The sequence below is a fragment of the Homo sapiens genome, chromosome 12 (genome assembly GCF_000001405.40).
Source record: "Homo sapiens chromosome 12, GRCh38.p14 Primary Assembly".
Taxonomy (NCBI): domain Eukaryota; kingdom Metazoa; phylum Chordata; class Mammalia; order Primates; family Hominidae; genus Homo; species Homo sapiens.
Window position 1 is genome coordinate 100,135,369 of NC_000012.12, and position 15,813 is coordinate 100,151,181.

Sequence of the window (15,813 nt, forward strand, 5' to 3'; positions counted from 1 at the left end):
AGCAATTCTCCCATCTCAGCCTCTCTAGTAGCTGAGACTACAGGTGCGCACCACCACGCTCGGCCAATTTTGGTATTTTTAGTACAGACAGGATTTCACCATGTTGGCCAGGCTGGTCTCAAACTCCTGGCCTGAAGTGATCTGCCCGCCTCAGCCTCCCAAAGTGCTGGGATTACAGGTGAGACACCACACCCGGCCTCAAATATTGCTTTGTCAATTAAGCCTTCCCAATCACCAGATTTAAAATTGCAAACTCCATCCCCAATTTATTGTACTTCTCATCCCCTTTCCCTATGTTACTTTTTCAGTAGCATTTAACACACTGATATACTGTACTTACACAGTATTTCACCTATTTATGTACTTACTATCTGTTTCTGATTAAAACGTAAACTCCACGAGGGCAGGGATCTTTGCCTAGTGTGTTAACTGCTACATCCCCAGCAGTATGGTACAATATTTGGTACAAGGCAGGCACTCATTAAATTATTTTAAATAAGCAACTAGTACATACAGTGTCAAAATCCACATTATTAGAGATTATTTAAAAGTGAATACTGTCAGCCAGGCACGGTGGCTCATGCCTGTAATCCCAGCACTTTGGGAGGCCAAAGTGGGTGGATCACAAGGTCAGGAGTTCGAGAACAGCCTGGCCAACATGGTGAAACCCCGTCTCTACTAAAAATACAAAAATTAGCTGGGTGTGGTGGTGCATGTCTGTAATCCCAGCTACTCAGGAGGCTAGGGCAGGAGTATTGCTTGAACCCAGGAGGCAGAGGTTGCAGTGAGCTGAGATTGCTCCATTGTACTCCAGCCTGGGCAACATAGCGAGACTCTGTCTCAAAAAAAAAAAAAAACACCTCAAACCTACTCAAGTAAATTTATAATCCAAAAAACAATATTTAAATCAGTTTTTTTCCTAGTTGCAAAATCTAACAAATTTCATATAGCAATAAAATTTTTTTTATTTTTTTCTTCCTTTTTCACATCACCCGCAATGCCAGACAAGTAGTCCAATTTAGAAATAGGTTACAGTTAGTGATCCTACTCATGCTTCTTATATTAGAATAGGAATCGCTGAAGCTTCCCACAAACTGAAGCCATGTCTTACTCATCTTTGTATCTCTAATGCCCACTATGTGGCATATATATATATGTGCTCAAAAACGTTAAATACATAAACTCTCAAAAATTATTTACTGAGCTTTACCATAAAAGTTTATGATACAAATATTAGCCTATCAGTAATGATGTGAAGTTAGCATTTGAAAAAATAATGTCTGGCAGACTAAATAAGCTACACTGCATTTCCTTTTAGGAATGGTCAGTACTGGAAAGATTTTAGACCTAGCAGTATTGATCTCCAATTATATGCACCTTAACTTTTCTTCAGCAACTCACTTCTATGGCCATATCAGATAGCTTTTCTTTTCTTTTTTTTCTTTTTTTTTATTTTTTTTGAGATGGAGTTTCGCTCTTGTTGCCCAGGCTGGAGTGCAATGGCCCGATCTCAGCTCACTGCAACTTCCACCTCCCGGGCTCAAGCAATTCTCCTGTCTCAGCCTCCCGAGTAGCTGGGATTACAGGCATGGGCCACCACACCCAGCTAATTTTGCATTTTTAGTAGAGACAGGGTTTCACCGTGTTGGTCAGACTGGTCTCGAACTCCCGACCTCAGGTGATCCACCCGCCTCAGCCTCCCAAAGTGGTAGGATTATAGGCATAAGCCACGGCGCCCAGCCTCAGATAGCTTTTCCTAAACCAGATCTACTTCACTTCTAAAATCTTAAACTTCAATGTGACAGTTTCAGACAAAATCTCCAACCCTTCCAATTATCTCATTCCTTTACTCCATTACTTTTCCACCTAGATAGCATTCCCAATCCTTTGACGGTTCTTTCCTTTTCTCTCCAGGCTATCAGCTACCGCCCTCTCCTCCCCTTCCTTATATATCCTCAATCTAGTGGCCAATCCCATCAACACAAAGTGAGGCACTCTAATCCCTCTCATCACTTTGCCATTCAGGCACCAAATCCTGCATGTGTTTAACCCTTCTGAATGTCCATAATGAATATTCTTTTTTTCTTTTTTGAGACCAGGTTATGAGACTGGCTAATTTTTGTATTTGGGGTAGAGACAGAGTTTTCATCATGTTTCCCAGACTGATCTCAAACTGCTGGGCTCAAGTGATCTGCCTGACTTGGCCTCCCAAAGTGCTTGGATTACAGGCATGAGCCACCACACCTGGCCCCATTTTCTACTTAAGTTACTCAGAGTCCATTTGTAGACTCCGTATTTCCACCCCAGATATTGCTCCTAAACCCTAGACTTCAAAAATAAGACTGCTTTAATGAGCATATCCCTCTTACCTTTATTAGTAGTCACTCCTCACCCCCAGGATAAAGTTCAATTTCCTTAATGTAGCAAATGAGGCCCTTGGAAATCTAATTTAGTGCACTGCCTATTACAGATGACTAATGGAGCAACAAGCCTAACTCAAAATAGCCCTCTCCATTACCATATTTTTGCTGTACAACCCTTTGCCATTGCTAATTGAACCATGGGTAGACAAAACTGGGTCACAAAGGCTTTCTCTCTAGGGGATTCTGAAACCTGACAGGAGAGATCAAAGACTGGGAATTATGGAAGATAGGCCAGCACTCTAAAGCTGTAGCTCCCAACCAGGAGTAATTTTGCCTCCTATGAGACATTTGGCAATGTCTGGAGACATTAAACATCCTACAATGCACAGAACAGCCTTCACAACAAAGAACTATCTATTTCAAAATGCCAATGATGCCAAGGTTAAAAAACCCTGCTGCTACTTTAAGAGGAAGGTCCAAGAACTCTTCCAATGAGATTCTAGGAGCTAGCTGGTTCCTGTTCTTTCCTTGATTTGGTTGTTCAGATATTCTTCTGCTTTCTGTTACATTTCCCTTTTTACTTAAATAGATCAGCTTTCTGATGTTTGCAGGCAAAACAACTTTACTAGCACAGAACCCTAGCTCAATCATACGACACACACCTGTACACTTTAAGCTGGTTTCTCAATCTCGGAACTACTGACATTTGGGCAAATAATTATTTGTTGTGAGGGAATATGCTGTGCAATGTAGAACGTCTAGCAGCATCCCTGGCCTCTATTCACTAGATGGCAGTAGTATTACCCTCCCCTCCAAGTCTTGACAATTAAAAATATCTCCAGACACTGCCAAATGTCACCTCAAGACAAACTGACCCTGGTTGACAACTGCTGCTTTAAACTATACGATGACTCCACCGAGGTGAGGTGAATGTCTGCCCAGTCAACTCCCACTCCCAGGAAACCTTGTGCAGAGCACAGTATGCCCTTAGCCTAAGGGAGCGAAGGAGAAGAGAGTGTCTGTATCCAAAACTTCCCTACCCCTTTTCAGGTCCTGGCTTAATTAAATATACGTCCACTTTGCCGATTTGCAAGCGCCTGTTCACAGGTGTGTACATGTGTATACACATACACATACACACACACACACACACACTAATGTCTTGAGCTGAAAGGTAGCTTCTGCTTTTATTTCCTTTCTCACATTTGTTACGACTTCTCTTTAGAAGTTTCCATTCCCATGTGAAAAACTACTCTCCTAGAAAACCCTCCCAAAATACATTCAGTCCTATTACAGTTTGAAAAATCGGGGCAGTTTCTCCTTCAAAAGCTTTTCCTGTTTCACTCTGGAAAAATGTCACTACTCTAAGCTCCCCCATCCCACCAACACACCTCCTTGTCCTCATTTCAGATTCTTCAAGTAGATAAACTTTTTATTAACAACTGGAGAGATGTTTGGAATACAAACTAACAATTAGGCAAGGAACAAGTATATAGATTTACAGTTCTCAAATAGTTTAGCATTGAGTTAAAGAATCTGTTAATCTCTTAAGAACAATTCCTCTTCCATACTTTCCCAACATACCAGCTTCTCAAGTCCCTTCATCCAGGCAAAGATGGTTTTAATCTTGCAACTGCACTATATTTCAACCTCAAGGCTAAAAATGAGAGCTCTTTCTCATGTTGGTTCACAGTCTTCCTCCTTACTGGCAGAACTCCTCCCCCCATACAATAACTGGGTTATTTCCTTACCGGAAGACCCCTCATATAAACCCCTGTAAGAACTAGGTCATTTTCCTAGTTATTTTCCAGGATCCAAAGGCACCACATTTATTTAATGATTCAATTACTCACTGCCTCCTAAAGCCACAGGGAAACTGGTCATTCCCAAATCTATAAGAATATTGGCAGTAGTCTTGCCTCAGTAAAAAAAAGCAATGTAAGAGAAAGTAAGCTCATTCATGTTATGTATCCACATTCATGCAACAAATAGTTGTTGAGTACCTACTTTATGCCAGCCTCAAGACAAAAATCCCTGCTCTCATAGAGTCTACATTTAAGTGGAGAAAGACAAAAATACATAAAGAAATAAATATGTACGACAGACAAGCATGAGTGCTATGGAGAAAAATAATGCAAGCAAGAGGACTGGCAATATGGGGGCTCACAATTTTAAACTCTGTGGTCAGGAAAGGTCACCTTTGAGAAGGTGCAATGGGTTGCATACACAGGCCTCACATGATGTCTAGTATTAGAAACTAGTATGTTCAACTATTTCCTGGTAAACTATATTCTACTGTATCCCAGACCACTAGGTCAATGTAGTGACATCTTCATTACTGGATATTCTATAAAATTAAACTTGAACCAGGTAATTTCAAAAGTTCATTCCTTCCTGAGTAACTATAATTTATCACAACACCTGCCTTCTTTTGTCAATTACGAGCTGCCTTTAGATTTCTGAATAACTATTTTTCTTAGGAGATGACAGCAATTAGCAGTAAGATTAACTTATTAACCAAAAATAAAAATTTGATACTCTTTAGTCACCTGAGTTAAGGATGTTTTGAAATATGAAATAACTGAAAACTCAAGTGTCCCAAAAACTCATCTCTGAAAAAAAAAAAAATCCTCATCACACTATTTATCACACAGCTATTACAAATCATACAGATTTAGAAACTAACCCTAAGGGCCAGGCACGGTGGCTCACACCTGTAATCCCAGCACTTTGGGAGGCCAAGGCAGGCGGATCACCTGAGGTTGGGAGTTTGAGACCAGCCTAACCACCATGGAAAAACCCTGTCTCTACTAAAAATACAAAATTAGCCAGGCGTGGTGGCGCATGCCTGTAATCCCAGCTACTCGGGAGGCTGAGGCAGGAGAACTGATTGAAGCCAGGAGGCAGAGGCTGCCGTGAGCCGAGATCATGCCATTGCACTCCAGTCTGGGAAACAGAGTGAGACTCTGTCTCAAAAAAAAAAAAAAAAAAAAAAAAAATATATATATATATATATATATATAAAATAAAATAAAAACTAGCCCTAAAGACTCAATTTTCAATATATGGGTGTTTTCTATCTCATGCAGTAAGCCATTACATCTTTGTTCTTAATTTTTTTTATTATACTTTGGTATGCATGCTCTTAATTTTTAAGAGCCCCTCTCAAATGGAGTTCTATAAAAGAATTAAACTCTAATGCACTATCTGTTGATTGAATTAACTTTTCTTCCAAGCATCTAGAGTGGTACTAGCTATGCAGCATCATCCTTGGACGAGTGAGAAAGTAGGCATTCAAATCATTTTCTGCAGATCTGTATTTTCTTGTGGAGCTGGGTATGAGAAAGGCGGGAGGACATAAATTAAAAATAGATAAAACCTTCCAAAATAAGATAGTTCAAGATTGGGCCATATATATAATTTTAAAAGAAACTTTTCAATGAGTGATAACATTAAGAAATACATATTCATGCAGGGCGTGGGGGCTCACACCTGTAATCCCAGCACTCTGGGAGGCCGAGGACCGCGGATCACCTGAGGTTGGGAGTTCAAGACCAGCCTGGCCTGGTGAAACCCAGTCTCTACTAAAAAAATACTACATATATACACATATATATGTGTAGTGTATACACATATATATGTAGTACACATATATATGTATGTGTATATATGTGTATATATGTATATGTATATATGTACATATGTATATATATGTACACACACACACACACGCTGCTATACTTTGCTACTTTTAAGAAAAGTGCTATATCTTATTCAGTATTATAAGTGAGGAAAATATTTGCTGAATCACAGAAGTAGAATTCTGTTCCCAATATATAACCTGTGGTATAAGACAATCTGGGGAATCAAGAATTATGTTTACTATACAAGTCTATAATCATACCCGTGTCTTCCCAAAATTAGTTAAAATTAACTTACAAATCGAACAGAAAGGGATCCTAACCAAGGGCTTTGAGTTCGCTGGTAACAACTTGGAACAAGAGCCTACATTTAGCCTGTGTCTTGAGACAAACACGGAGAAGCCAAGAGCAGTAACAAACTGCCAGCCTTACTGAGTCATGTTTCTGACTAAAACCGCGTTATGAAATGGAGAGAATGACATGTCTTGGGTTTAATCACCACAGATGTTAACTCCCTGAATTTTAGAGTTGCAGAGGAAAAAGAGCAAAAACCAAAAAAAAAAAATGTTCAGTAATAATGATGTGGGTCTCATAGGACTCCAGAAAGAACCTGCCAAAGCTGCGAACTCTGCTTATTTACCTAAAACAAATCCTAACTGTGCAAACAGGCACACCCTCTGATGCCACAGAGCGGGAACGCCAAGGTGGGAGGAATTCAGAACAATCACAAGGTTAACGTTCCACTGAGAACACAGCCTCCACTGAGCGTCCACACTGCGCCAGAAGCCCTCGGTTAACGGAACCGCTCTGCTCCAAGGGGAAGGAGCACCGAACTCGAGTTAGAGCCCAGCACATTAACCAGGCACTTGGGTGACGCCAGGCCACCTCCAGCCTCCGCTCAGTACCGCACAGAGCCGAGCCGGGACGCCCCCAGACGCCGCGCCGGGAGCGATCCCAGCCCGCCGCGCTCCGCACTCCGGGCTCCTCCGCGCGCCCACCCTGGGAGAAGACGCGTCAGGGGCCGATTCGTGAGGCCAGCCCCCGGCGCCGCCGGCGACAAGAGATCCGGGGCCGCGACCTCTGCCCCGGCCAGAGCGGGGAAGTCCGAAGGTCGCCTCCCGCACAGCCGCCAGGCGCCGCCGCCCCCGAAGCCGCAGGCTGACTCCAGTGCGGGCTGGGGTGGAGGCCGACTGGCGCCGACACCGAGGCGCTCACTGACCTGGAGAGGTGCTTCAAGATTTGTTTCTTGATGATCCCGGCCATGGTACCGAGGCTGGAGACGCCGCGGTCTCGTCCTGTTGCTCACTGCCTCCTCTCTTCGTGGCCGTCTCCTCTCTGTCCCGGCTAGCCCGGCCGGCGGAGAGGCGCTGATCGCTCACGACCGGGAGAGACCCAAGGCCCCGGCCAAGGCCACAGCCGCCGCCGAGAACCCGGAGCATCACGCTCAGGCCGCCACGGCCGCCGCGGGCGCCATCTTGGCTGCAGCATCACCTAAGAGACTCGGTGGAGGGCGGGGGCGGGGCGGCTCCAGGCGGGGCCGGCACGAGGCGGGGCGGGGCCAACGCCGGCTCTGGGCGGGCTCTGGGCGGGCTCTGGCTGGGCTCTGGCTGGGCTCTGGGCGGGGGCGGGAGGTTTGTGGCATTGGCGCCAGGGTTCTTAGCCCTCGCGACACAGGGCCCTTGACTCTCAATACACCATCCTTCTTGGCCTTAATCCTCCCTCCTTCCCTCTGCTGGTGTTCCCGCCTCCATCGCTGACCCGTCGCTGATTTTTACTTCCACGTCCTACTTCCCTTATTCATTTCCTCAGAATGTTTTTTATTTTTTTGCTTGTTTGTTTTTTTTTTTGAGACAAGTCTTGCTCTGTCACACAGGCTGGAGTCCAGTGGTACGATCTCGGCTCATTGCAACCTCCACCTCCAGGGTTCAAGCGATTCTCCTGCTTCAGCCTCCTGAGTAGCTGGGATTACAGGTGCGCACCACCACGGCCGGCTAATTTTTGTATTATTAGAGACGAGGTTTCACCATATTGGCCAGTAGGTCTCGAACTTCTCACCTCGTGATCCACCCTCCTAGCCTCCCAAAGTGCTGACATTACAGGCGTGAGCCACTGCACCCGGCCTCCTTAGAATGTTTTAAGAATCGGCCATTAACTCCTGTGCTTGCTTTGCTCTCTTGACCTACTCACCTTTCTTCATATTCTTCCTTAGGTTTTTGTTTTTGGTGTTTTTTTTTTTTCTTTTGTTAAGGTGTCCTGCCTTTCCCTTACCTAAATGTGGCAATTTAATGTTTCCTTTGGTTATTGCTATTCTAAGGGAAGTAAAGGTTGACAATGGTTCCTAGTAGTCTAGGACCTAGGAATTAGAAGGTGTATAATTCAAGTCCTGGCTCTGGTATTTTCTAGCTGTGTTATCCTGGGGAAAATAATTTCTTTACTATTAGTTTCATTTTAATCATCTGTGAAATAGATTAATCATCAGCCTTACCCACTTCACTAGGTTGAACCTAAAGGTGTAAATATCATATGAAAAGTTCTGTAAGGAAGGAAGGAAATTGTTGAACTAGGGAAAACTGTTACAATTCTACACCTCCACCCCACCCAATCCCAAACAGAGCTAACATTTTCAGAGATTAAAATGACGACTTCTGTCATCCCAGCACTTTGGGAGGCCGAGGCAGGCAGATCACTTGAGGTCAGGAGTTCAAGACCAGCCTGACCAACATGGTGAAACTCTGTGTCTACAAAAAAAAAATACAAAAATTAGCTGGGCATAGTGGCGGGCGCCTGTAATCCCAGCTACTCAGGAGGCTGAGGCAGGAGAATTGCTTGAACCCGGGAGGCAAATGTTGCAGTGAGCTGAGATCAAGCCACTGCACTCCAGCCTGGGCGACAGAGCAAGACTGTCTCAAAAAAAAAAAAAATTACTCAGTGTTAAGTCAAGTTTAGCCTAACACTGCCTCCTTACGTAATTGAGTTCAGCCTAAAGGTTTTTCTGTACATCATGAACTTATGAAAATAAGCAGAGGTATAAACCGACCATAGCCCACACCTGTGCCAATCACTGAGTTTTGGCCAGATGTAGCCAACTGTTCAGACTGTGTTCAAATAAGGCAAACACTGAGCTGTAAGCAATCCAGTTGTTTCTGTACCTCACTTCCATTTTCTAGACCTCACTTTCCTTTTGCTGGCCAGAAATCTGCTCCCAGCATGTGGCTGTGCTGGAGTCTCTCTGAATCTGCTGTGATTATGGGGGCTGCCAGACTCAGGAATCGTTCATTGTTAAACTCCTTTAAATTTAATTTGGCTGAAGTTTTTCTTTTAACACTAGTGATATCTAAAACAGGAAAAGAAATTGTACCACCCCTGAGGGATGTATTAGCAAGATGTGTGGTTGTACATCTTGGGAGTTGGGTGGGAAGTAGTTTACACATAGTCCAATAAGCTGGCCCTTTTTGAAGAATGGAAAGGATAGACGTGTAAGTTGACTACACTCAACATTTCATTTTATTTTTATTTTATTTTTGAGACAGTCTTACTCCATCGCTCAGGCTGGAATGCAGCAGCACGATCTTGGCTCGCTGCGACCTCCGCCTCCCAGGTTCAATCAGTTCTCCTGCCTCAGCCTCCCAAGTAGCTGGGATTACCAGGCTAATTTTTGTATTTTTAGTAGAGACGGAGTTTCACCATGTTGGCCAGGCTGGTCTCGAACTCCTGACCTCACGTGATCCGCCCGCCTCAGCCTTCCAAAGTGTTGGGATTACAGGCATCAGCCACCACACCCAGCTGACTACACTCAACATTTATCATAGATTATAAACCAGGCACTATTCAAGTATCCTGGGGTTGCCTAAATGAAAACAAAAATCTCTGTTCCTGCCATCAGAGTTAACGGCCTGGCTTGGAAGGCAGACTCATGTTACTTACACCTTCAGCTCTGTTAGTAGACTCTGGTTCAAATGCTGGCCACTTTATAACTGTGTAAACTTCAGCAAATTAATCTTTCTCAGCTTCAGTGATCTCATGTGTTAAGAGATATTATTATTAGTAGCTACTGTTAACCTGCCTTATAGCAAACTCAATAAAGGCTAGGTATTATTAATTACTTTACCAAAAACAAGCAAAGTGCTATAAGAACACAGAGGAAGGAGTAATTCATTTGGGGACAGACTTATAGTAGAGGTATTATTTCAAAGATATGAATAAATCCATTTAATTTTTTTAAAAAAATGGACCCTGAAATCAAAGACTTGGATTTAAAACTGAAGCAGGAGGGTTCCCTGACTTCACTCGCAGGACTAACACTAATGCACGAAGTACACAGGGGGGTGGCTCATCTGCTTGGCTACCGAGCACATGCAAACCCCTAATAGGACAGGGAGCACACAGATGGGCAAGTGCAGAAGCCGGAGCAAGGACTTTTGAACTCTGGCCCCATGGTAGCGTCTAGGGGTGGGTAACTGCAACTCCTGAAGCCCAAGTGGGCATGCGTTACACTGCACTCTTTTAGCTTTGTTGTCCACAGATAGCTTAAGTGTTAACTAGCTCAGTGCCCTCTTAGTATCCAGGTCATTGTCAGGCATCCAGAAAGAGGTCACACAGGGACTTGAAGGACGGTGAATGTGGGGTTTTATTGAGTGGTAGAGGTGGCTCTCAACAGGATGGATGGGAAGCTGGAAAGGGGATGGAGTGGGAAGATGATCTTCCCCTGGAATTTGGCCATCCAGTGGCCAAACTCTTCTCAGCGTTCAGTCACTACTTCTCTTGTCTCTGCTGCACTGGTCTGCCATTCTTCTGCTCATCTGTTCATCTCCTTGTCTGCTCATCTGCTTGTGGAGCCTGGGGTTTGGGCTTTCTATGGATACAAGATAGGGTGCTGTGGCAGGCCAAAAGGCAACTTTTGAGCACAAAAACAGAAATGCCTGTTCCCATTTAGGACGGTGGGTTTCCAGGCTTGAGAGTAGGGCATTTGCCAGGGAACCACTCTGTTCTACCCAGTATTTCCCTGTCTCCTGTCCATATCAAAACTGAACTCTGCAGATATTTAGCTATGCTGGTTGTGGTAGGGTGACCCCCAAATTGGGGTTCAGGCTGGGAGGCTACTTGGGTTCCTGCCTTCTGCAGGAAAGAATTCAAGACCAAGCTGACAAGAGTAAAGTGAAACCAAGTTTGTTAAGAAAGTAAAGAAATAAAAGGATAGCTACGCCATAAGCAGAGTAGCAGCATGGGCTGCCCAACTATACTTATGGTTATTTCTTGATTATATGCTAAACAAAGGGTACATATTCATGAGTTTTCTAGTAAGGGTGCAGGGAGTTCCTGGAACTGAGAGTTCCTCCCCCTTTCAGATCATATAGGGTAATTTCTCCATGTTACCATGGCATTTGTAAACTGTCATGGCCCTGATGGGAGTTTCCTTTAGTATGCAAATATATTATAATTAGTGTTTAATGAGCAGTGAGGATGACCAGAGGTTGCTTTCATGACCATCTTGGTTTTGATGGGTTTTGGCCAGCTTCTTTACCTCATCCTGTTTTATCAGTGACAAAGGAGAAAGTCAAAATATTTTACCCCAAAACATGTTTCTTTGCCATATTTTGAAATGGTCCTGCAAAGCCATTCTTTGTGGGGGAAAATTTGCATCTATAAAGAATCTCTATTAACATAGTTAGGTTTTTTTCTTACAGGCCCTCTCAATCCTGAAGAGATTAACTAAGAGTCTATCACCTTTTAAAGGTCTGAATACGAAACATTTGTCATCTATTGTCTCTAAGGGCAGCCACATTAAGACTTCAAAAGAACTTTGGTCTCCACGATCTTTTATCTTAACCAGATCATCCAGGTCTTTAGACAAAGTCAACCAATTGTCAACCAGAAAATGTTTAAATTTACCTATAGCCTGGAAGCTCCCCTCCTTTGACTTGTCTTGCCCTTCTGGACCAAACCAATGTATTTCATTTTTTCGAGATGGAGTCTTGCTCTGTCGCCAGGCTGGAGTGCAGTGGCGCAATCTCAGCTTACTGCAACCTCTGCCTCCTGGGTTCAAGCGATTCTTCTGCCTCAGCCTCCTAGGTAGCTGGGACTACAGGCGCATACCACTACACCCAGCTAATTTTTGTATTTTTAGTAGAGACAGGGTTTCACCATGTTGGCTAGGATGGTCTCAATCTCCTGACCTTGTGATCTACCTGCCTCGGCCTCCCAAAGTGCTGGGATTACAGGCGTGAGCCACCGCGCCTGGCCAAACCAATATATATATATATTTTTGAGATGGAGTCTCACTCTATTGCCCAGGCTGGAGCACAGTAGTGCGATCTTAGCTCACTGCAACCTCTGCCTCTGGGTTCAAGCAATTCTTCTGCCTCAGCCTCCCGAGTAGCTGGGACTACAGGTACGCGCCACCACACCCAGCTAATTTTTTGTATTTTTAGTAGAGACTGGGTTTCACCATATTGGCCAGGCTGGTCTCGAACTCCTGACCTCATGATCCGCCTGCCTCGGCCTCCCAAAATGCTAGGATTACAGGCGTGAGCCACCAGGCCTGGCCAAACCAATGTATTTTTTTTTTTTTTTTTTTTTTGAGATGGAGTCTCGCTCTGTCCCCAGGCTGGAGTGCAGTGGCACGATCTCAGCTCACTGCAACCTCCGTCTCCCGGGTTCACGCCATTCTCCTGCCTCAGCTTCCTACGTAGCTGGGACTACAGGCGCCCGCCACCATGCCCAGCTAATTTTTTTTGTATTTTTAGTAGCGACGGGGTTTCACCGTGTTAGCCAGGATGGTCTCGATCTCCTGACCTCATGATCTGCCCGCCTCAGCCTCCCAAAGTGCTGGGATTACAGGCATGAGCCACCGCGCCCGGCCAAACCAATGTATTTCTTAAATGTATTTGATTGATGTCTGTGCCTCCCTAAAATGTATAAAACCAAGCTGCACTCCTACCACCTTGGGCACATGTTCTCAGGACCTCCTGAGCGCTGTGTCATGGGCCATGGTCACTCATTTCGCTCAGAATAAATCTCTTCAAATAGTTTATAGACTTTGATTCTTTTTGTCCACAAGGATAGTTTGAAATCAGCCATGATGACAGTATTTACAACATAGAAAGCAGGGCTTTTTCCCCTAGAGATCTAGTTGTTAAGCATTCACCAGCACAAGACTATAAAATGAGTTTAGGCTGGGCGCGGTGGCTCAGGCCTATAATCCCAACACTTTGGGAGGCCGAGGCTGGTGGATCACTTGAGGTCAGGAGTTAGAGACCAGCCTGGCCAACATGGTGAAACTCTGTCTCTACTAAAATTACAAAAAATTAGCTGGGCATGGTGGCGGGTGCCTGTAATCCCAGCTACTTGGGAGGCTGAGGCAGAAGAATTGCCTGAACCCAAGAGATGGAGGTTGTAGTGAGCCAAGACTGCGCCACTGCACTCTAGCCTGGGCAACACGAGCGGAACTCCGCCTCAAAAAAAAAAAAAAAAATTGGAGGGAGATGAGATTGTAAATGTAAATATATAGACATCATTTTATAGGAAATAGTGAGTCCTGAAGACCTCTATGATGGGTTAATTGGGGAAGATGTTCATATTTCTGAGTCAGAAAAATATTTACAGACAATTTTGCTGTCAGTTCAGAGGATGGAGAACAGAATGGAGGCAGAAAGGGCATTGAGAAGGTGGTGGCATTATTTCAGGTGAGAGGTAAGACAGTATCAGTAGAGGTGAAAGAAGGTAAAGGACACATGCCAAAGATTAAATCAAGGATAAATATTGAAGGTAATTGAGGTTTTTGCTCGGGGCACGCCACTAGTTAAGTAATATAGTTGGACAGGCAGTTTTGGAGATAAGATCCTGTTGAATTTCTTGCTGTTAAGGCTTTCTGAGGATTTCTCAGTGGAAATTTTGTAAGGTTATAGTTTTGGGTGGAAATTCTGGTTTACGAATCGTGGTAGCTGAAGCCAAGAACAAGAATAATCTTGATCAAAGGGTATGTAAGTCATGAGGAAAGGAAAAAGAAGCTTAAATGAGAAAGGGTGGATAAACAGGAGAGACAAGATGGAAAGAGCATTTTTTTTTTTTTTTTTTGAGGTGGAGTCTAGCTCTGTCACCCAGGCTGGAGTGCAGTGGCGCAATCTAGGCTCACAGCAACCTCTGCCTCCTGGGTGATTCTCCTGCCTCAGCCTCCTGAGTAGCTGGGACAACAGGAGAGCACCACCACGCCCAGCTAATTTTTTGTATTTTTAGTAGAGACGGGGTTTCACCATGTTGGCTAGGCTGGTCTCGAACTCCTGACCTCAGGTGATCTGCCTGCCTCGGCCTCCCAAAGTGTTGGGATTACAGGTGTGAACGAGCATGCCTGGCCTGAAAATAGCATATTTTAAAGGATGAGAGATAAATAGAAATGATGGCTGCTCTATGATGTAAGATTTACAAAGTATTCTTTACTTGACTGGAATAAGAGATCTTACAACTTTTGTTTTTAAGGGTTTTTAGATTTTATAACTTTAATATTAAATTGGAGAAAATAGAATGACTATGAGAAAGAAAAGTAGCTCAGAGCAGTCTGGAAAATGTGAGGTATGTAAAATGTATTAGACCCCAAGAGACATGAGAATGAGACGTAGTCAACATTCCCCCACCCATGTCTAGGGTTGTTTAAAGGCATTTTGGTTTTTTATGTCTTACCCTGTAGTTTCCAGACTAACAAATTACTTAAAAATTTTTTGTTTGTTTTTTTGTTTTGAGACAGAGTCTCGCTGCGATGCCTAGGCTGGAATGCAATGGTGTGATTTCGGCTCACTGCAACCTCCGTTTCCCAGGTTCAAGTGATTCTCCTGCCTCAGCCTCCCAAGTAGATGGGACTACAGGCACATGCCACCACGCCTGGCTAATTTTTGTATTTTTAGGTAGAGACAGGGTTTCCTCATGTTGGCCAGGCTGGTCTCGAACTCCTGACGTCAAGTAATCCGCCCGCCTCAGCCTCCCCAAGTGCTGGGATTACAGGTGTGAGCCACCCAGCCTGGCCCAAATTACTTAAAATGTTACCACAAGTTGCACAGTGTACCCTCATTCACTATCTTCATGTTCCTGGAATTTCTGATACAAAGAGCAACATATAGCCAATAAATTGCTTATGTTATTTTAATGAACCAATGTAAATTCTTGGTAAGCAATTTAAGAACTTTTTTGAGATGGAGTTTCACTCTTGTTGCCCAGGCTGGAGTGCAATGGTGGGATCTTGGCTCACCACAACCTCCGCCTCCCAGGTTCAAGCAATTCTCCTGCCTCAGCCTCCTGAGTAGCAGGGATTACAGGCACCCACCAGCATGTCTAGCTAAAATTTTTTTTGTATTTTTAGTAGAGAAGGAGTTTCACTGTGTTGACCAGGCTGGTCTCGAACTCTTGACCTCAAGTGATCCACCCGCCTCAGCCTCCCAAAGTGCTGGGATTACAGGGTGGCTCATGCCACCGTGCCCGGCCCTCTTATCCTTTAAAAATCCACTTGTGGCCAAGCCAGGTTTGTTGGTTCCTCCCTGTAATCCCAGCACTTTGGGAGGCTGAGGTGGGTGGATTTCTTGAGCCCAGGGGTTCAAGACCAGCTTGGGCAATATGGTGAAACCCTGCCTGACTCTATAAAAAAATACAAAAATTAGCCAGGAGTGGTGGTTTGATCCTGTAGACCCAGCTACTTAGGAGGCTGAGGAGGGAGGATTGCTTGAGTCCGGCAGGTCAAGGCTGCAGTGAACAATGATCAAGCCACTGCACTCCAGCTTGAGCGACAGTGAGACACTGTCTCAATAAAAACCCAAAAAACCAACAAA

At 44.3% G+C, this 15,813-nt stretch overlaps 1 protein-coding gene and 1 long non-coding RNA gene across 7 annotated transcripts in view, besides 6 other annotated features; one reads left to right on the forward strand and one right to left on the reverse strand.

Moving 5' to 3' along the window:
- BLTP3B (bridge-like lipid transfer protein family member 3B) overlaps nt 1–7,506 on the reverse strand; it is a 105,803-nt gene extending 98,297 nt beyond the window's left edge. For 5 of the 6 annotated variants that reach the window (XR_007063059.1, XM_005268739.5, NM_015054.2 and 2 more), the window contains exon 1: nt 7,224–7,506. Coding sequence is in view for 4 of the 6 variants with exons in the window: in XM_005268739.5 (XP_005268796.1) it covers nt 7,224–7,267 (44 nt within the window). In the remaining 2 variants the exon portion in view is untranslated. Of the gene's footprint in view, nt 1–6,302; nt 6,398–7,223 lie in introns of those variants that run through there. The other variant, XM_047428554.1, reaches the window with a different exon arrangement.
- Nucleotides 3,383–3,532: a silencer, noted in NCBI's record as "silent region_4761". NCBI's record gives its function as "represses an Ori minimal core promoter by ATAC-STARR-seq in GM12878 lymphoblastoid cells {active_cell/tissue: GM12878}" and the evidence as "EXISTENCE:reporter gene assay evidence [ECO:0000049][PMID:35858748]".
- Nucleotides 6,921–7,170: a silencer, noted in NCBI's record as "silent region_4762". NCBI's record gives its function as "represses an Ori minimal core promoter by ATAC-STARR-seq in GM12878 lymphoblastoid cells {active_cell/tissue: GM12878}" and the evidence as "EXISTENCE:reporter gene assay evidence [ECO:0000049][PMID:35858748]".
- Nucleotides 6,921–7,814: a biological region, named in NCBI's record as "H3K27ac hESC enhancer GRCh37_chr12:100536197-100536960".
- Nucleotides 7,051–7,814: an enhancer, noted in NCBI's record as "H3K27ac hESC enhancer chr12:100536197-100536960 (GRCh37/hg19 assembly coordinates)". NCBI's record gives its function as "activates a minimal SCP1, AML or CMV promoter by ChIP-STARR-seq in primed H9 embryonic stem cells {active_cell/tissue: H9 hESC(primed)}" and the evidence as "EXISTENCE:reporter gene assay evidence [ECO:0000049][PMID:30033119]".
- Nucleotides 7,491–7,670: a silencer, noted in NCBI's record as "silent region_4763". NCBI's record gives its function as "represses an Ori minimal core promoter by ATAC-STARR-seq in GM12878 lymphoblastoid cells {active_cell/tissue: GM12878}" and the evidence as "EXISTENCE:reporter gene assay evidence [ECO:0000049][PMID:35858748]".
- On the forward strand, nt 7,687–9,303 carry BLTP3B-DT (BLTP3B divergent transcript). The gene is made up of 2 exons (NR_186018.1): nt 7,687–7,975; nt 9,172–9,303. It is a non-coding gene; the product is annotated as a BLTP3B divergent transcript (long non-coding RNA).
- Nucleotides 11,227–12,035: an enhancer, noted in NCBI's record as "NANOG hESC enhancer chr12:100540373-100541181 (GRCh37/hg19 assembly coordinates)". NCBI's record gives its function as "activates a minimal SCP1, AML or CMV promoter by ChIP-STARR-seq in naive and primed H9 embryonic stem cells {active_cell/tissue: H9 hESC(naive and primed)}" and the evidence as "EXISTENCE:reporter gene assay evidence [ECO:0000049][PMID:30033119]".